Source organism: Homo sapiens, chromosome 3, assembly GCF_000001405.40.
Source record: "Homo sapiens chromosome 3, GRCh38.p14 Primary Assembly".
NCBI lineage: Eukaryota > Metazoa > Chordata > Mammalia > Primates > Hominidae > Homo > Homo sapiens.
In genome coordinates this window covers 100,464,714-100,486,425 of record NC_000003.12, presented here as the reverse complement: position 1 = coordinate 100,486,425, position 21,712 = coordinate 100,464,714, and the positions used below count along the sequence as shown (strand labels likewise).

Below are 21,712 nucleotides of genomic sequence, written 5' to 3'. Positions count from 1 at the left end.
TCTTAGACTATCAGCTCAAGAAGGTAGAGCAAACAGCCTTGGAAAATAAAGATAATGCCTCCTTCCAGAGGAGAGGGCATTTTTAAAAAAATAAAGACAATGTCTTATTTCAGGGCAGAAGTTGGAAAGGTTTGCTTGCAAGCATTATAAAATATTGGAAGTTTCTAAGCTCAGAAACCTGCTGCATGTTTACATATCAACTGGCCCTCACCATGTCATCCTGTAGGATTTGGTATTCTGGGAACCAGTGCGAATGCTGATAATCTGGCTCCTGCTATGACTATGAATAACAAACCACCTTTTGTCCCTGACGCAAGAGTCTCTTGTCCTTTGTCATCATCCACAACACTGTGGTAGACTAGTTTGTTAGCTTACATGTAAGGGAAAAATCTCAGAACCTTCACAGTTCTTAACAGAAACACCATGGTCTGTTAGCCATCACCACAGATCCCTGCCTGCCAAGGCACTAAGTACTCTGGTAACTACTGGTACTCTGACCCTGCATCCCATTACAGTAATTAAGTCCAGCTTATCCTCACCTGCACTCTCATATTCTGAAATCTTATCATTGCTTTTAGGGAGCCCAGCACTGTGGCAGTATCTCCTATTGTTAAATAGTGGATGGTCACCAGTGCTCAGAAACACCAAGTGCGTTACTACTTTACTAATGAATTCCTTATGATTGCAATGGATTCAGTTTACTCTGGGTTCTCTTGGGCAACATAATCAAGGGATGAGATCTCTAGTCTCATATAATAAATCTACCTCCCCAAGCCCTCTGATCCTCCCTCCCTCAATATTCTGCCAAGGCAGATCTGGCATTTCCACCTTTTTTTCTTTGTATTTTTTTTAGAGACAGTGTATTGCTCTGCCACCCAGGCTAGAGCACAGTGACACAATAACAGTGGCTCACAGCAGCATTGAACTCCTGGGCTCACGTGATCCTCCCACCTCAGCCTCCCAAGTAGCTGGGACCACAGGTGCATACCACCATGCCCAACTAAATTTTTATAATGTTCTTGTAGATATGGAGTCTCATTATATTTTTCAAGCTGGTCTCAAACTCTTGGCCTCAAGCAATCCTCTCAAAGTGCTTGGATTGCAGGCATAAGCCACCACACCACCTCTTTTATTGTAAATCCTTATCATGCCCAAGCTTCAAGGAGTCATTCCAGCAGGCTACTAGTATAGACCCCAAATGTCCTTTCCAGGTTACTAAATTCAGAGTCAGAAGAGAGTGCTACCATGTTGATAAATTCTTCCCTGTCTGGTCAATGTTTCACCACATATACTCCAATACTCACATATGTTCTCCTGGTTCCTGCTGATTCATATTAGCTGGGCCCTGAAATTCTTTTGGAAAGCAAGATATTTAATCTTGGTGAAGACTATTTCTCCTCTTAAGCTGTTGGTCTGTAGGCAGTGACATATAGCATGAGCTAATCTCAAGAAGGGTGAATATCGCCCTGTGAAGCAGCCATCTGAGGGAGTTTTTTTATGGTTACCGGGAAAATGAGATTAGTCTCCTCCAGAAGAGGGGAAGCAACTGCTTCTGCGAAACTTTAAGGGTTAGGGCACTTGCTCCCTTTTGCCATCAGAGAATTCCCTGGGACTGAAAGTGAAAAATACATATTGAGTGCTGGAAATGAGATACTGTTCACCTGAGGTAAAGCTGCACTCAGAAGGAGCTCTCTACTACAGTCGCAGCAGAAATCTGAAGTAGGATAAGAGGATATGATGCAAGGTATCAGCTACAGCTACCAAGCTAATTTAAGGGGGAAATGGAATAGGCAAAAATATGAAATTTAAAAGAAATTAATAAAGGAGAGAAAAGGGAACACATAACAGATGAAGCAAATAGGAAGCACAGAGTAATATGGTAAGTTTAAACAGCAATATATCAGTAATTACATTAAATGTAAATAAACCAAACACTTCAAATAAAAGACAGATTGTCAGAGTAGATAAAACACACACACACACATGCACACAAATGCATATACAGGTATATGCTGTTTACCAATAAAGCACCTAAAATATGAAGACAAATAAAGATTGTGTATAAGTGGATGGAAAAATAAACACCATATGAACAGTAAACAAAGGAAGGCTAATAAGATTATATTTTAATACTAAACAAGATAGACTTTAAAAACATTAATAAAAATAGAAATATTTTGTAATGATAAAAAGTTCAATGCATTAGGAAGATATGACAGCTCTAAGTTATATACACCTAATAAGTTATATATGCCTCAAACTATATGAAGCAAAAATAGGCAGAAATACAAGAATAGCAAGGGGTGGTGGCTCATGCCTGTAATCCCAGCACTTTGGGAGGCCGAGGTGGACAGATCCCTTGAAGACATGAGTTTGAAACCAGCCTGGGCAACATGGGGGAAACCTTGTCTCTACAAAAAAAAGTACACAAATTAGACAGGCGTGGTGGCCTATGTCTGTGGTCCCAGCTACTCCAGAGGCTGAGGTGAGATGATCGCTTGAAGCAGGGAGGCAGAGGTTGCCATGAGCCAAGACCTTGCCTCTGCACTCCAGCCTGAGCAACAGAATGAGACCCTGCCTCAAAAAAGAGAAGAAATAATGAAAGAAAGAAAAAGAGAAAGAAAGAAAGAGAAAGATGAAAGAAAGAGAAAGAAAGAAAGAAAGAAAGAGAAAGATGAAAGAAAGAAAGAGAAAGAAAGAAAGAGAAAGATGAAAGAAAGAGAAAGAAAGAAGGAAAGAAAGGAAAGAAAGAAGGAAGAAAGGAAGGAAATAGCATGACAGAAAGTAGATCAGTGGTTGTCTAGAGCATGATGGGAGGAAGGAGCAAAAAGGAAGGTTTCCAATATGTCAAAATTTATCAAGTCGGTAAATTTTATGTTCTGTATATTTTGCCACAATGAAAAAAGAAAATTATCAAATTGTCACTTTAAATATGTGCAGTTTATTGTATACCAGTTATACCTTAACAAAGCAGTTCAGAATGGAATATTTAAGCAAAATAGTGTAAAAAACACCATTACACAAAAATCTTTGATCCCACAATTATTATTTCTTAAGAATGGATTCCTATAAGGAAATGTACAGGGTGAAGTAGTAATAATATTTGTAATATTCTTGAGACACAAATTACATTCAAGAAAGGTTGAACAAATCTCGTCTCACTCTCCCAAGTATTGAGAATTACTGGTTAAAAACATTTGCCAATTTGTCATTTTAAATTGTTTTCATTTACATTTTTATTAGTATGGACACCATATTTTAGAGGGGTTCAAAGGAAGCCATTTAGGGCAATGTGGTTGTGGAACTTAGGTTTTGTAAGGAATGATGGATGGTGCAGGGATGTTCACCTGAGGAGACCCCATGGCAACAGAGAGGCAGAGAAAGGCATGAGAGCTCTTAAAGGAACAGTAGTGACATCATTCAGGAGAGGATTAAGACCTTTGCTTTGGGGTACCAGAGGGAAATAAAAAGACCAAGTTTCATGTGGATGGAATCCTTCAAAGATTTCAGCTCAGGATGGAAAAGGATCTTTGGGGGTCAAAGAGTGGACAGGATTATAACAATATCAACTACTAGAGCTTTAATGCAGTGAAATAATTAATAATAGTTATTATTATTATTATTATTATCATACTATGAAGGTTAATCTGCTTTCCTAGCCCTTAAATTAATCAAGAAAAGCTGGGGCAACTTGGCAGACACATTGCAGAGGGAGTTCCTGCCTCAAGTGGGAGTTTGAGCTAGACAGTCTTGAATCATGATCTTTAAAAGACCTCTGATTTGTTATTCTCATTCCCCCTCTTTCACTTCTTTTCTATTTGCTCCTGTACTTCTCTGGGAATAGTGACTTAACTATCTCACTATGTTTGCAAATTGAGGAGTGAGAAATATAGCCACTTGTTTGTAAGAACATACTGAGCAGACTTTAAATGCAAATTCACTAATCACGGATGATGGAATTATCTCAGATATGACAAGAGAGATTCCTGGCAGAGTACCTGGTTGGCTCCTTAATCCTATTAAAGTGGTTTATGACCAGTACAACAATATTATTACCCTGTTAATGAATGACTAGCCAGTGCCCATCCCAGCTGATGAGTCTAAACAGACACAATAGTCGTTATGAAGACTTAATTTGTTTGCACCTATCACTCCACCAAAACACTTGAAGGCAGTTTACCACAATAGCAATGAAAATATGTGCTATGAAGAAAGATACTGTATACAGTACACACAACAATGAGAAGGGAGGAGAGCTGGAAAAAAGTAAGAGTTTGAAACAATGTCTTCCTTAATGTTTGAAAACCTGCTAGAAGGGGTATTTGATGTCTTGCTCAAGGCTTTTTTATTTACTTTTGTGAACAATGTGTAGCCAGTCAAGGTCTTCAAACTAGCAAGTGACACAATCTTTTTTTTTCATGAGTTATCTTTGTGGAAATGATGTGCAAGGTGAAAGGAGGTAGGAAAAAAAACTAATGGTGGGAAGACAATCTAGGAGACTGTTGAAATAATTGAGATAAGAAATAATGTTAACTAATCTGGTGGCTGTAACAATTGCAAAAGGCTTTCAAACTGCAAGTTTAAATCATTCCACAATTGTTAGTGTAGGTCCCCGAGGTCCCTAATCTTCCATTAAAACCTTTCCCTCCCATATTATCCTGGCCCACACTCCTCTTTTCTTATTTAAGGTTATGTAGAAAGATGAGGAAATTGCATTTACAAGAATTTCTCTTGGGGGATAAAATATCATATGAATTTAAAAGAAATACTTTCATAACTCACTTGATAGAGGGAATGAAATCCCAAACGGTATAACAATAGAAACTCACCAATTCCTTCCACTCCCTCTTTCTTTCCACAACTAAAGATTGACAGACTGCTGGGGGCCAGACACTGGAAATACAAAGATGGGTAAGAAACACAAAGCTCCTAATTTACATTAACTTAAATTAGAATATCTATTATGGAAAACAGTGTGGAAGTGCCTCCAAAAATTAAAAATAGAATACCATATGATCCAGCAATCTCATTGCTGGGTATATAGCCAAAGGAAATGAAATCAGTATGTCAAAGACCACACCCATGTTCCCAGCAGCTTTATTCACAACAGCCGAGATTTGGAATCAATCTAAGTGTCCATCAACAAATGAATGAATAAAGAAAATGTGGTATATACATACAAAATGGAATACTATTTATCCATAAAAAAGAAGGAAATCCTGTCATTTGGGAAGACGTGGATGAACCTGGAGGACGTTGTGTTATGTGAAATAAGCCAGGAACAGAAAGACAAATACCACATGATCTCACATATTTGTGGAACATGAAAGATTTGAATTCATAGAAGTAGAAGTGACATGGTGACTACCAGGAGCTTGGTGAGGTGGTGGGTGGGGCACAGGGTCAGAAAGTTGGGAAGAAGTTGGTCCAAGGATAGGAGATTTCAGTTAGATAGAAGGAATAAATTAAAGGGATCTATTGTATGGTAATTATGGTTAATTAGAATGTATTGTATTCAAAATTGCTAAGAGAATAGATTTTAAGTGTTCTCACCACAGAAAAAAATGATAAATATATGAAGTAATGCATACGTTAACTCACTCAATTTAGCCATTCCACATGTATATATATTTCATAAGACAATGTACACAATTACATATAATTTTAATTTATCAATTAAAAATAATGCTTTTAAAAAAGAAATGCAGATTGAGAGTCACTTCCAAGGTGGCCGAATAGGAACAGCTCTGGTCTGCAGCTCCCAGCGTGATCAACACAGAAGATGGGTGATTTCTACATTTCCAACTGAGGTACTTCGTTCGTCTCACTTGGACTGGTTGGACAGTGGGTGCAGCCCACAGAGGGTGAGCCAAAGCAGGGCAAAGCATCGCCTAACCCAGGAAAAGCAAGAGGTTGGGGGATTTCCCTTTCCTAGCCAAGGGAAGCTGTGACAGACTGTATCTGGAGGAATGGTACACTGTCATCCAAATACTGCACTTTTCCCATGGTCTTAGCAACCTGCAAACCAGGAGATTCCCTCCAGTGCCTGGCTTAGCAGGTCCCACACCCACAGAGCCTTGCTTACTGCTAGCAAACCAGTCTGAGATTGACCTGCGACGCTGCAGCCTGGCCAGGGGTGTCTGCCATTGCTGAGGCTTGACTAGGTAAGCAAAGTGGCCGGTAAGTGCGAACTGGGTGGAGCCCACCGCAGCTCAGCAAGGCCTACCACCTCTTCTCTAGACTCCTCCTCTGTGGGCAGGGCATAGCTGAACAAAAGGCAGCAGACAACTTCTGCATATTTAACCATCCCTGTCTGACAGCTCTGAAGAGAGCAGTTGTTCTCCCAGCATGGCGTTTGAGCTCTGAGAACTGACAGACTGCCTCCTCAAGTGGGTCCCTGACCCCTGTGTAGCCTGACTGGGAGATACCTCCCAGTAGGGGCTGACAGACACCTCATAAAGGTGGGTGTGTCTCTAGGATGAAGCTTCCAGAGGAAGGATCAGGCAGCAATATTTGCTGTTTTACAGTATTTGCTGTTCTGCAGCTTCTGCTGGTGATACCCAGGCAAACAGGGTCTGGAGTGGACCTCCAGCAAACTCCAACTAACCTGCAGCTGAGGGATCTGACAATTAGAAGGAAAACTAACAAACAGAAAGGAATAGCATCAAAATCAACAAAAAGGACAGCCACACCAAAACCCCATCTGTAGGTCGACAACATCAAAGACCAAAGGTAGATTAAAACCACAAAGATGGGGAGAAACCAGAGCAGAAAAGCTGAAAATTCTAAAAACCAGAGCACCTCTTATCCTCCAAAGGATCGCAGCTCCCCACCAGCAATGGAACAAAGCTGGATGGAGAATGAATTTGACAAGTTGACAGAAGTAGGCTTCAGAAGGTCAGTAACAACAAATTTCTCCAAGTTAAAGGAGCATGTTCTAACCCATTGCAAGGAAGCTAAAAACCTTGATAAAAGGTTAGACGAATGGCTAACTAGAACACACAGTGTAGAGAAGAACTTAAATGACCTGATGGAGCTGAAAAACATGCCACGAGAACTTTGTGATGCATGCACAAGCTTCAATAGCCAATTTGATCATGTGGGAGAAAGGATAGCAGTGATTGAAGATGAAATTAATGCAACAAAGTGAGAAGACAAGATTAGAGAAAAAAGAGTAAAAAGAAACAAACAAAGCCTCTGAGAAATATGGGATTATGTAAAAAGACCAAATCTATGTTTGGTTGGTGTACCTGAAAGTGACGGGGAGAATGGAACCAAGTTGGAAAACACTCCTCAGGATATTATCCGGGAGAACTTCCCCAACCTAGCAAGGTAGGCCAACATTCAAATTTAGGAAATACAGAGAGCACTACAAAGATACGCTCTCGCTCTCGCTCTCCCTCTCCCTCTCCCTCTCCCTCTCCCTCTCCCTCTCCCCCCTCTCCCTCTCCCTCTCTTTCCACGGTCTCCCTCTCATGCCGAGCCGAAGCTGGACGGTGCTGCTGCCGTCTCGGCTCACTGCAACCTCCCTGCCTGATTCTCCGGCCTCAGCCTGCAGAGTGCCTGCGATTGCAGGCACGCGCCGCCACGCCTGACTGGTTTTCGTATTTTTTTGGTGGAGACGGGGTTTCGCTGTGTTGGCCAGGCTGGTCTCCAGCTCCTAACTGCGAATGATCCGCCAGCCTCGGCCTCCCGAGGTGCCGGGATTGCAGACAGAGTCTCGTTAACTCAGTGCTCAATGGTGCCCAGGCTGGAGTGCAGTGGCGTGATCTCGGCTACAACCTCCACCTCCCAGCCACCTGCCTTGGCCCCCCAAAGTGCCAAGATTGCAGCCTCTGCCCGGCCGCTACCCCGTCTGGGAAGTGAGGAGCGTCTCTGCCTGGCCGCCCATCGTCTGGGATGTGAGGAGCCCCTCGGCCTGGCTGCCCAGTCTGGAAAGTGAGGAGCATCTCTGCCTGGCCGCCATCCCACCTAGGAAGTGAGGAGCGCCTCTTCCCGGCCACCATCCCATCTAGGAAGTGAGGAGCGTCTCTGCCTGGCCACCCATCGTCTGGGATGTGAGGAGCCCCTCGGCCTGGCTGCCCAGTCTGGAAAGTGAGGAGCATCTCTGCCTGGCCGCCATCCCATCTAGGAAGTGAGGAGCGTCTCTGCCCGGCCGCCCATCGTCTGAGATGTGGGGAGCGCCTCTGCCCCACCGCCCGGTCTGGGAGGTGAGGAGCGTCTCTGCCCGGCCGCCCCGTCTGAGAAGTGAGGAGACCCTCCACCTGGCAACCGCCCCGTCTGAGAAGTGAGGAGCCCCTCCGCCTGGCAGCCACCCCGTCCGGAAGGGAGGTGGGGGTCAGCCCCCACCCGGCCAGCCACCCCGTCTGGGAGGTGAGGGGTGCCTCTGCCCGGCCGCCCCTACTGGGAAGTGAGGAGCCCCTCTGCCCGGCCAGCCGCCCAGTCTGGGAGGGAGGTGGGGGAGTCAGCCCCCCACCCGGCGAGCCTCCCCGTCCGGGAGGGAGGTGGGGGGTCAGCCCCCGACCCGGCCAGCCGCCCCATCCGGGAGGGAGGTGGGGGGGTCAGCCCCCCCACCCGCCAGCCGCCCCGTCCGGGAGGTGAGGGGCGCCTCTGCCCGGCCACCCCTACTGGGAAGTGAGGAGCCCCTCTGCCCGGCCAGCCGCCCAGTCTGGGAGGGAGGTGGGGGAGTCAGCCCCCCGCCCGGCCAGCCGCCCCATCCGGGAGGGAGGTCGGGGGGTCAGCCCCCCGCCCGGCCAGCTGCCCCGTCCGGGAGGGAGGTGGGGGGGTCAGCCCCCCGCCCGGCCAGCCGCCTCATCCGGGAGGGAGGTGGGGGGGTCAGCCCCCCGCCCGGCCAGCCGCCCCGTCCGGGAGGGAGGTGGAGGGGTCAGCCCCCTGCCCGGACAGCTGCCCCGTCCGGGAGGTGAGGGGCGCCTCTGCCCGGCCGCCCCTACTGGGAAGTGAGGAGCCCCTCTGCCCGGCCACCGCCCCGTCTGGGGGGTGTACCCAACAGCTCATTGAGAGTGGGCCATGATGACAATGGCGGTTTTGTGGAATAGAAAAGGGGGAAAGGTGGGGAAAAGATTGAGAAATCGGATGGTTGCTGTGTCTGTGTAGAAAGAAGTAGACATGGGAGACTTTTCATTTTGTTCTGTACTAAGAAAAATTCTTCTGCCTTGGGATCCTGTTGATCTATGACCTTACCCCCAACCCTGTGCTCTCTAAAACATGTGCTGTGTCCTCTCAGGGTTAAATGGATTAAGGGCAGTGCAAGATGTGTTTTGTTAAACAGATGCTTGAAGGCAGCATGCTCGTTAAGAGTCATCACCACTCCCTAATCTCAAGTACCCAGGGACACACACACTCTGCCTAGGAAAACCAGAGACCTTTGTTCACTTGTTTATCTGCTGACCTTCCCTCCACTGTTGTCCTATGACCCTGCCAAATCCCCCTCTGTGAGAAACACCCAAGAATGATCAATAAAAAATAAAAATAAAAATAAAAAAATAAAAAATAAAAAATATAAAAATAAAAAAACAAAAACAAAGATACTCCTCAAGAAGAGCAACCCCAAGACACATAATTGTCAGATTCACCAAGGTTGAAATGAAGGAAAAAATGTTAAGGACAACCAAAGAGAAAGTTCAGGCTACCCACAAAGGGAAGCCCATCAGACTAACAGCAGATTTCTTGGCAGAAACCCTACAAACCAGAAGAGAGTGGGGGCCAATATTCAACATTCTTAAAGAAAAGAATTTTCAACCCAGAATTTCATATTCAGCCAAACTAAGCTTCATAAGTGAAGGAGAAATAAACTCCTTTACAGACAAGCAAATATTGAGAGATATTGTCACCACCAGGCCTGCCTTACAAGAGCTCCTGAAGGAAGCACTAAACATGGAAAGGAACAACTGGTACCAGCCACTGAAAAAACATGCCAAATTGTAAAGACCATCAATGCTATGAAGAAACTACATCAATTAATGGGCAAAATAACCAGCTAACATCATAATGACAGGATCAAATTCACAAATAACAGTATTAACCTAAAATGTAAATGGGCTAAATGCTCCAATTAAAAGACACAGACTGGCAAATTGGATAAAGAGTCAAGACCCATCACTGTGCTCTATACAAGAGACCCATCTCACGTGCAGAGACACACATAGGTTCAAAATAAAGGGATGGAGGAAGATCTACCAAGCAAATGGAAAACAAAAAAAGGCAGGGGTTGCAATCCTAGTCTCTGATAAAACAGACTTTAAACCAACAAAGATCAAAAGAGACAAAGAAGGCCATTACATAATGGTAAAGTGATCAATTCAACAAGAAGAGCTAACTATCCTGAATATATATGCACCCAATACAGGAGTACCCAGATTCATAAAGCAAGTCCTTAGAGACCTACAAAGAGACTTAGACTCACACACAATAATAATGGGAGACTTTAACACCCCACTGTCAACATTAGACAGATCAACGAGACAGAAAGTTAACAAGGATATCCAGGAATTGAACTCAACCCTGCACCAAGTGGACCTAATAAACATCTACAGAACTCTCCACCCCAAATCAACAGAATATACATTCTTCTCAGCACCACACCGCACTTATTCCAAAATTGACCACATAGTTGGAAGTAAAGCACTCCTCAGCAAATGTAAAAGAACAGAAATTATAACAAACTGTCTCTCAGACCATGGTGCAATCAAACTAGAACTCAGGATTAAGAAACTCACTCAAAACCGCTCAACTACATGGAAACTGAACAACTTGCTCCTGAATGACTACTGGGTACATAACAAAATGAAGGCAGAAATAAAGATGTTCTTTGAAACCAACCAGAACAAAGACACAACATACCAGAATCTCTGGGGCACATTCAAAGCAGTGTGTAGAGGGAAATTTATAGCACTAAATGCCCACAAGAGAAAGCAGGAAAGATCTAAAACTGACACCCTAACATCACAATTAAAAGAACTAGAGAAGCAAGAGCAAACACATTCAAAAGCTAGCAGAAGGCAAGAAATAACTAATATCAGAGCAGAACTGAAGGAAATAAAGACACAAAAAACCCTTCAAAAAATCAGTAAATCCAGGAGGTGGTTTTTTTTAAAAGATCAACAAAATTGGTAGACTGCTAGCAAGATTAATAAAGAAGAAAAGAGAGAAGAATCAAATAGACGCAATAAAAAATGATAAAGGGGATATCACCACCGATCCCACAGAAATACAAACTACCATCAGAGAATACTATAAACACCTCTATGCAAATAAACTAGAAAATCTACAAGAAATGGATAAATTCCTCGACACATACACCCTCCCAAGACTAAACCAGGAAGAAGTTGAATCTCTGAATAGACCAATAACAGGCTCTGAAATTGAGGCAATAATTAATAGCATACCAACCAAAAAAAGTCCAGGACCAGATGGATTCACAGCCGAATTCTACCAGAGGTATAAGGAGGAGCTGGTACCATTCCTTCTGAAACTATTCCAATCAATAGAAAGAGAGGGAATCCTCCCTAACTCATTTTATGAGGCCAGTATCATCCTGATACCAAAGCCTGGCAGAGACACAACAAAAAAAGAGAATTTTAGACCAATATCCCTGATGAACATCGATGCAAAAATCCTCAATAAAATACTGGCAAACCAAATCTAGCAGCACATCAAACAGCTTATCCACCATAATCAAGTAGGCTTCATCCCTGGGATGCAAGGCTGGTTCAACATATGCAAATCAATAAACGTAATCCAGGATATAAACAGAACCAACGACAAAAACCACATGATTATCTCAATAGATGCAGAAAAGGCCGTTGACAAAATTCAACAACCTTCATGCTAAAAACTCTCAATAAATTAGGTATTGATGGGACGTATCTCAAAATAATAAGAGCTATCTATGACAAACCCACAGCCAATATCATACTGAATGGGCAAAAACTGGAAGCATTCCCTTTGAAAACTGGCACAAGACAGGGATGCCCTCTCTCACCACTCCTATTCAACATAGTGTTGGAAGTTCTGGCCAGGGCAATTAGGCAGGAGAAGGAAATAAAGGGTATTCAATTAGAAAAGAGAAAGTCAAATTGTCCCTGTTTGCAGATGACATGATTGTATATCTAGAAAACCCCATCCTCTCAGCCCAAAATCTCCTTAAGCTGATAGGCAACTTCAGCAAAGTCTCAGGATACAAAATCAATGTGCAAAAATCACAAGCATTCTTATACACCAATAACAGACAAACAGAGAGCCAAATCATGAGTGAACTCCCATTCACAATTGCTTCAAAGAGAATAAAATACCTAGGAATCCAACTTACAAGGGACGTGAAGGACCTCTTCAAGGAGAACTACAAACCACTGCTCAAGGAAATAAAAGAGGATACAAACAAATGGAAGAACATTCCATGCTCATGGGTAGGAAGAATCAATATCGTGAAAATGGCCATACTGCCCAAGGTAATTTATAGATTCAATGCCATCCCCATCAAGCTACCAATGACTTTCTTCACAGAATTGGAAAAAACTACTTTAAAGTTCATATGGAACCAAAAAAGAGCCCGCATCGCCAAGTCAATCCTAAGCCAAAAGAACAAAGCTGGAGGCATCACACTACCTGACTTCAAACTATACTGCAAGGCTACAGTCACCAAAACAGCATGGTACTGGTACAAAGACAGAGATATAGACCAATGGAACAGAACAGAGCCCTCAGAAATAATGCCACATATCTACAACCATCTGATCTTTGACAAACCTGACAAAAACAAGAAATGGGGAAACAATTCCCTATTTAATAAATGGTACTGGGAAAACTGGCTAGCCATATGTAGAAAGCTGAAACTGGATCCCTTCCTTACACCTTATACAAAAATCAATTCAAGATGCATTAAAGACTTAAACGTTAGACCTAAAACCATTAAAACCCTAGAAGAAAACCTAGGCAATACCATTCAGGACATAGGCATGGGCAAGGACTTCATGTCTAAAACATCAAAAGCAATGGCAACAAAAGCCAAAATTGACAAATGGGATCTAATTAAACTAAAGAGCTTCTGCACAGCAAAAGAAACTACCATCAGAGTGAACAGGTAGCCTACAAAATGGGAGAAAATTTTCACAACCTACTCATATGACAAAGGGCTAATATCCAGAATCTACAATGAACTCAAACAAATTTACAAGAAAAGAACAACCCCATCAAAAAGTGGGCGAAGGATATGAACAGATACTTCTCAAAAGAAGACATTTATGCAGCCAACAAACTTATGAAAAAAATGCTCATAATCACTGGCCATCAGAGAAATGCAAATCAAAACCACAATGAGATACCATCTCACGCCAGTTAGAATGGCGATCATTAAAAAGTCAGAAAATGGCAGGTGCTGGAGAGGTTGTGGAGAAATAGGAACACTTTTTCACTGTTGGTGGGACTGTAAACTAGTTCAACCATTGTGGAAGTCAGTGTGTCGGTTCCTCAGGGATCTAGAACTAGAAATACCATTTGACCCAGCCATCCCATTACTGGGTATATACCCAAAGGATTATAAATCATGTTGCTATAAAGACACATGCACACGTATGTTTATTGTGGCACTATTCACAATAGCAAAGACTTGGAACCAAGCCAAATGTCCAACAATGATAGACTGGATTAAGAAAATGTGGCACATATACACCATGGAATACTATGCAGCCATAAAAAATGATGAGTTCATGTCCTTTGTAGGGACATGGATGAAGCTGGAAACCATCATTCTCAGCAAACTATCACAAGGAGAAAAAACCAAACACTGCATGCTCTCACTCGTAGGTGGGAATTGAACAATGAGAACACATGGACAGAGGAAGGGGAACATCACACACCGGGGCCTGTTGTGGGGTTGGGGGAGAGGGGAGGGATAGCATTAGGAGATATACCTAATGTTAAATGATGAGTTAATGGGTGCAGCACACCAACATGGCACATGTATACATATGTAACTAACCTGCACGTTGTGCACATGTACCCTAAAACTTAAAGTATAATTTTAAAAAAAATCACAGTAACTTAGAAAGATTTTTATCCTCCAATTCAATTGTCAATAAAGAATTGACAAATTTTAAAAAAGCAAACAAACTTTCATTATCCTTTACTATTACATGAAAATCTTATTCAAGAGAGAAAGCCAAATTTTACCCTTGCATTAGTCTACTATTAATGTCAACCCGAATTTTCTAATGAAACCTTATAGACAATTCTATCAAATTTTACCAGTTTGACCATGAGGTGAGATTCTTATAAACCTCTGATAATTCTTTACAAATTTTGCTAGAGAGCAAATTTGTGCCTTAAGAGAACTTTGTTGTGCTTTTATTTCAATGCACAATTTATGGAAAAACCATACAATACCCTTATGAATTTAGTCAATATGTTCATGCACAAAATTTCTTTTGCAGGATTAATTTTTTACAATCCTTCTACAACTTGTTTAAACCTTCAGCTTTATCTCAGCTAATTCAAAACAATCCTTTAACCGTGGGCAAAAACTTACGTTTCTATGCCTTCTTATAATCTTTTACTAAAAACACATTTTACAGTTCTTACACACCTTGTATGTAAATCCATTTTCAGTTGTCTCAATTACGTGTTATAATGGTAACTCTTAGCAATTTTTAACTTTAATGTAAAATCTGATAAGTTGCTTTAATTATGCACTAGGCCCCAATTCAACTCTGACTACTTCCAGTATAATTAAGCGCATGGTTAATTTCATATGTCCCCAGGCCTTACCAAGTTGTAAAGCAGGCTAGTTGAACAATTCTCAAAGGCCAAAGAAGCAGTTCAGTTTACAACCTTAAAACATTTAGCAAATCTAGCATCTGACCTACATGATTCAGCCCACATATTTACATTTTTATGACATTTGTATTTTACCAATTACCTTTAAATTGCCTCTATTTCTCAAAGATTAAAGTCACATGAACTAAAAGGCATTACAGCTTTTATTTTTCCTTCAAAAAATATTTGATCTAAGCACTTATTTTTCTTTAAGCCAATTAATTAGAGCTCTTTTTTATATAAACATCACATATATAACACATATATGATTACACAGACAGACAGAAGAAGATCCAGTAGTTGTAACACTTTTCATTTGCCAATCTCCTAATCTGATTATTGACCTCAGGGTGGAGCCCTTCAAGAAACAGAGTAATCAGAATAATATGGTTTGACTCTGTGTCCCCACCCAAATCTCATCTTGTAGCTCCCATAAGTCTCATGTGTTGTGGGAGGGACCTAGCGGGAGATGATTGAATCATAGGGGTGGGTCTTTCCTACACTGTTCTCAGATAGTGAATTAGTCTTACAAGATCTGATGGTTTTAAAAACAGGAGTTTCCCTGTACAAGCTCTCCTCTTGCCACCACCATGTAAGAAATGCTACTTGCCTTCTGCCATGATTGTGAGGTTTCCCTAGCCATGTGGAACTGTAAGTCCTTAAACCTCTTTTTCTTTATAATTTACCCAGTCTCAGGTATGTCTTTATCAGCAGTGTGAAAAATGACTAATACAGTAAATTGGTCCCAGTAGAGTGGGGCACTGCTGAAAAGATACCCAAAAATGTGGAAACAACTTTGGAACTGGGTAACAGGCAGAGGCTGGAACAGTTTGGAGGACTCAGAAGAAGATAGGAAAATGTGGGAAAGTTTGGAACTCCCTAGAGACTTGTTGAATGGCTTTGGCCAAAATGCTAATAGTGATATGGACAATGAAATCCAGGCTGAGGTGGTCTCAGATAGAGATGAGGAACTTGTTGGGAACTGGAGCAAAGGTGACTCTTGCTATATTTTAGCAAAGATACTAAGGGCATTTTGCCCCTGCACTAGAGATGTGTGGAACTTTGAACTTGAGGGATATGATTTAGGGTACCTGGCGGAAGAAATCTGTAAGCAGCAAAGCATTCAAGACGTGACTTGGATACTGTTAATGGCATTCAGTTTTAAAAGGAAAACAGAGCATAGAAGTTCAGAAAATTTGCAGCCTGATGATGTGATAGAAAAGAAAAACCCATTTTCTCAGGAGAAATTCAAGCCAGCTACAGAAATTTGTGTAAGTAACAAGAAGCCAAATGTTAATCACCAAAACAATGGGGAAAATGTCTGCAGGGCATGTTAGAGATGTTTGTGGCAACTCTCCCATCACAGGCCCAGAGGTTGAGGCATAGGAGGAAAATATGGTTTCATGGGCCAGGCCCAGGGTCCCCATGCTGTGTGCAGGATTGGACTTAGTGCCCTGCGTCCCAGCTGCTCCAATCACAGCTGAAAGGGGCTGACGTAGAGCTGAGGCCACGGCTTCAGAGGATGGAAGCCTCAAGCCTTGGCAGCTTCCACATGGTGTTGAGCCTGTGAGTGCATGGAAGTCAAAAATTAAGATTTGGGAACCTCTGCCTAGATTTCAAAAGATGTATGGAAATGCCTGGATGCCCAGGCAGAAGCTTGCTGCTGGGGTGGGGCTCTCATGGAGAACCTCTACTAGGGCAGTGAGGATGGGAAACATGGGGTCAGAGCCCCTACACAGAGTCCCTGTTGGGGAACCACCTAGTGGAGCTGTGAGAAAACAGCCACCAGTCCAGACCCCTGAATGGTAGATTCACTGACAGCTTGCACTGTGTGCCTGGAAAAGCTGCAGACACTCAACACCAGCCTGTGAAAGCAATTGGGAGGGAAGCTGTACCCTGAAAATCCACAAGGGCAGAGCTGCCCAAAACCATGGAAACCCTCCTCTTGCATCAGCGTGACCTGGACATGAGACATGGAGTCAAAGGAGGTCATTCTGGAGTTTTAAGATCTGACTGCCCTGCTGGATTTCAGACTTGCATGGGTCCTGTAGCCCTTTGTATTGGCCAACTTCTCCTATTTGGAATGGTTGTAGTTACCCAATGCCTGTACCCATATTGTATCTAAAAAGTAATTAACTTGCTTCTGATTTTACGGGCTCATTGTTGGAAGGGACTTGCCTTGTCTCAGAGGAGATGTTGGACTGTGGACTTTTGAGTTAATGCTGAAATGAGTTGAGACTTTGGGGGACTGTTGGGAAGGTATGATTGGTTTTGAAATGTGAAAATACGAGATTTGGAAGGGGCCAGAATAACATAGTTTGGACCTGTGTCCCCACCCAAATCTCATCTTGTAGCTCCCATAATTCTCATGTGTCGTGTGAGGGACCCGGTGGGAGATGATTGAATCATGGGGATGGGTCTTTCCTGGACTGTTCTCATGACAGTGAATTAGTCTCATGAGATCTGATGGTTTTTAAAATGGGAGTTTCTCTGTACAAGCTCTCTCTCTTGCCACCACCACGTAAGAAATGCCTTTCACCTTCCACCATGATTGTGAGGCCTTCCCAGCCAGGTGGAACTAGAAGTCCTTAAAAGTCTTTTTCTTTATAATTTTCCCAGTCTTGGGTATGTCTTTATCAGCAGTGTGAAAACCAACTAATACACAAGGCTAGGAAAGCATGCAGTTTCTAGGGACCAATAAACAGGCATAGCTGGAAGAAAAAAATAGATTTTGAGAGGGATCTATCCACTTTCAATTCCTGGGGTTCTATGAGGAAAACAGAGGTTTCTTCCCAAAATGGGGTCAGTGGCACTCTCTCTGTTTTTCCCAAAGAGTCCCATGTGCCGAGAAGTTATCTACGGCCTCTCATGTGTGCATTAAGAGTGGCAAGACAAAATGGAGAAAAGTAATTCAGTCAACTGAGAAAAAAACCTTTTCCAGAAAAACATAAAGGTCTCTTAAATATACCTATAGCTTTGATATCCACTTTTAATTAAGCTGAGCATTCTTTAAGAAAATCCTTTTAAATCCCTTGTTACCCAACCTTAGCCATGTGAACCCGCCAACATTTCTGGCTTTTGAACTTTACCAAAAGTAACCTCACAGGTGAAACCAACAAGCTTCAATTAAGGTTATGACTTAACTATGAATGTATGAGGTATATATTCAAAAAGGTGGTAAGCAGTTTTTACAAAATCTAGAACCTCTAAAGGTAACTCAGAGAATGGAAGCTAGAAGTTGTTCATGGATGGGAAGAGAATCAGCAAATGGTAGAAGTCACACAGCTGTTTACTTGAAAGTACTCATTCTCCAAGCCAGGATTGAACACAGGCCACCATTGTAAAATGGCAGAGACTAAAGTTAAGTACTGCCACGTGGTTACATTTCAAGCTCCCAAGGACATAAAACAATATGGTGGCCTGCAGCAAAGTTTGATACTGACCAGTTTGTTGGGCTAACTTGAACAGCAGGCATATAGGGTCCTAGGCCAACATTCTATCCTAAGGCACCCCTCTTTCTGACAGAACCATACAGAAAAACACACAAAGCACACCAGATTGGCTATAGCTTAAGACAAGCCTCATAAATCATTTTTCATTAATCAAAACTTTATGGAGAATATAAGCAGTTATCCTCACCATTTTTTCTATCGGTTTGCACAGCAAGAGTGAGGCCAAAAGACTTTGGCCTAACAAGGCCAAAAGTCTGACTGGGTAAAAAAAAAACTTTTACCCTTTTGCTGGCATGTCAGGCTTCTGGGTTCCCTTCCCCTGAGCTCAATTCTAAGCCAAGCAGTTTAAGGTTTGGTAAATTAATTTTTCCTAGTTTAGAGGATGCATCTGAGGAGAGTGTCCTATAGTATGGGGATGCAATTACCCATCCACAAAGAGAGGACAGAGGAGGAAAAAGGAAAAAGAAGGCTTTTTTTCCAAGATGCCCCCCCAGGACTCAGGATGCATTCAAGGGGGGTACGAACTAAAGATGAATGGTTCTTTAGACAAAAGAACTGCCTCAGTGGGTGCATGGACTAAAACAGAGCAAGTGCTACTGACCCCATTTTGGGAAGATGAATTGTTACCCAGCTGGGAAGAGTGGATAAGCCATCCCCAATTCCTTTTACTTCCCAGTGAATACCCAGGGTACATGAGGGAGAGAAAAAATAGGCATCTCTTTTCTTTCTTATGTCCTTGTATCTGAGTCCCAGCGACCTTGACAAGGTGCCACCCATGGGTGCCAATGTGGCTTTCACTCATAGTAACAGAAGGGCCAAGGGGGTGGGAATATTTGAACTCACCCACATATGCCCTGTCCCTGCCTGTTGTCATAACCTTTGAGTTCCCTAGGCCTCATTTATGCCATGGATACAGGCATGACCTCTATCCATGAAACAGGAGGCTTGGTTTGATTGGCAGGAATTAGCCATGGTCACTTATGCTTTGCATTTTAACTTCCATTGTTGTCTGCCTCTGGACCCCTCATATTCAATTTTCTATCCTGAGTCTTCAACTCTAAGCTTGGAATTGAGTTTGGGACAAAAGAACTGCCTCAGTGGGTACATGGACTCATCAAGTCCCAGGTGTCCCTCGCCAGACTGCAGCCAGCAGCCAGCGGGACTGCTCCTCTGCTGCCTCCTTACCATAAGCCAAATGCTAAGGTAAAGCTGAGGAGCTGGGTCCTCTTCAAACAAGGGAGCGAAAAAGGGTGTCCTGTGGCCTAACAAGATGCCTTCCAAAAGGAGGAAAAAAAACTCTTGCATAGAAAACTCCCTATATCTACAGGGCTGTGTTAACTGCTGACAGGGTGGAGAAAAGGAAGAAAAAAAAGCTTAAGTTCAGGGCTGGGAAGATGCCTTGGGTAGAAACCTCTTATTTATTCTTATGCAAGTGGGTTTCTTCAACAGGAAAAGAAACTTTTAATTGCTGTCTCCTCCTTCTTGGCTCAGCAAGGGGAGGAAAGACTCCTTGGGCACCTAGCAGGAGGGGACGGCAAGTGAGAAATGCTGGCCAGCCAGCCATGAGGGACCCTTGTGCTGTGTGCCCCAGCCAGGAGGGGAGCAGGGCAGGGAGCTTGCCAATCTGTCTTGTGTGCATGCCTGTGGCCATTGGGGTGGGGGTGGAACATGCCCACTAAAAGATAGGTGCCATTACAGTCCTGAAAAAAGAAGGAAAATGCCATAGAAAAGACTGGGTTGGACAAAGGCCAACATTCCTGACCCCTGAGAGCAACAGGGGGGCAGGGGGCAGGTTGCAGTATCCCCTGCCTTCCGAAAAAGTCTGAGGATAAGAAAGCTCAGAAACAAAAGTGAAAGAGATTGTTGGGTCCACATTTTACTCAACCTTCTGACAAATGCCAGACAAGCCTCCAAAATGATGCAGAATTTTTTGCTCTGAACTAAGGTTCAGCTTGGTCTGGGTTCTTGTCTCACAATCAGGAAGAAGTAGATACATGGACACTGGAAGAGTGAGCAAGGCAGGAAGTTTTACTGAGTGATGAAACAGCTTTTAGTGGGGAAGTTACACAGGGGTAGTTCCCCTGCCTGAAGGTAAGAGAGTTTCCAATATGGCTGAGCCCAGGGCTTTTTATGGGCTCAGAATAGGGAGTGCGTGCTGATTAGCTTGTGAGTATGCAAAAAAGTCAAAGACACCACTTAAAAATGGGCATGATAGTGTAGGAAACCAATTAGGAAAGGGTAGGTATATGTAAAATAGTTGAAGGCTGAGTATCAATCAGAGGAAAGCACGCCAAACAGGAGGGCGGGTTCTCAATCTGGTTCAAGGATTTACCTGGGACTGTTTCTGACTTGAAGGTTGAATTTCACCGGGGACCCACCCCTACCTGCCTAGGTATTTATCAACAAGGCTGCAATCAAGTTGTCAGTCATGTGAAGCTCGATTAAAGAAGGATCCATTTCCAAGTTCACATGGCTGTTAGCAGGATTCAGTTCTTTGCAGGTTTTCAGAATGAGGGCATTTCCTTGATGACTACTGGCAAGAGGTCACCCTCAATTCCTTCCCCACGGGCTTCTTCATATGGCAGCTTAAACCCCCTTATACATATATAGTTTGCAAATATTTCTTCCCAATCTGTAGGTTGCCATTTCATTTTGTTGTTTCCTTTGCTATGCAGAAGCTTTTTAGTTTGATATAGTCCCATTTATTTATTTTTGCTTTTATAGTGAGCTTTTGGTATGATATCCAAAAAATTACTGCCACTGCCAGTGTCCAAAAACTTTTTCCCTTTGTTCTCTTTTAGGAAATTTATAGTTTCAGGTTTACATTTAGGTATTTTATCAATTTTGCAAAACTCCTAATTTTGGTACATAGCATCTGTTACAGTCAGCCCTCTGTATCTGTGGGTTCCACATCCAGGGATTCAACCAACCATGAAAAAATATTTGAGAAAAGATAAATGGTTGTGTCTGCCCTGAACATCCACAAATTTGTTTTTCTTTTTATTATCCCCTAAATAATACAGTATAACAACTAGTTATATAGCATTCACATTGTATTAGGTATTATAAACAACCTAGAAATGATTAAAAGTACAGTTATTATTCCTTGTTATATGTGGGGGATTTGTTCCAGGACTCCCAAGTACACCAAAAGCCATGCATACTCCAGGTCTTGAAGTCAGCCCTTTGGAACCCACGTATAAGAAGAGTTGGTGCTCCATATACACTGGTTTGACATTCCTCAATAATGTATTTTCCATCTGTGTTTGGTTGAAAACATCTGCTTATAAGTGGACCTGCACAGTTTAAGCCAACATTGTTCAAAAGTCAACTGTATACAGAACGATATGCATAGGTTATATGCCAATGCTACACCATTTTATATAGGAAACTTGAGCATCCATGGATTTTGGTATCCACAGGGGGTCCTG

The 21,712-nt window shown here is 42.7% G+C and overlaps 4 annotated features.

The window, feature by feature from the left end:
- Window positions 8,866-9,551: an enhancer, noted in NCBI's record as "NANOG-H3K27ac hESC enhancer chr3:100195719-100196404 (GRCh37/hg19 assembly coordinates)". NCBI's record gives its function as "activates a minimal SCP1, AML or CMV promoter by ChIP-STARR-seq in primed H9 embryonic stem cells {active_cell/tissue: H9 hESC(primed)}" and the evidence as "EXISTENCE:reporter gene assay evidence [ECO:0000049][PMID:30033119]".
- Window positions 19,902-20,402: an enhancer, noted in NCBI's record as "H3K4me1 hESC enhancer chr3:100184868-100185368 (GRCh37/hg19 assembly coordinates)". NCBI's record gives its function as "activates a minimal SCP1, AML or CMV promoter by ChIP-STARR-seq in naive and primed H9 embryonic stem cells {active_cell/tissue: H9 hESC(naive and primed)}" and the evidence as "EXISTENCE:reporter gene assay evidence [ECO:0000049][PMID:30033119]".
- Window positions 19,902-20,441: a biological region, named in NCBI's record as "H3K4me1 hESC enhancer GRCh37_chr3:100184868-100185368".
- Window positions 20,132-20,441: an enhancer, noted in NCBI's record as "active region_20160". NCBI's record gives its function as "activates an Ori minimal core promoter by ATAC-STARR-seq in GM12878 lymphoblastoid cells {active_cell/tissue: GM12878}" and the evidence as "EXISTENCE:reporter gene assay evidence [ECO:0000049][PMID:35858748]".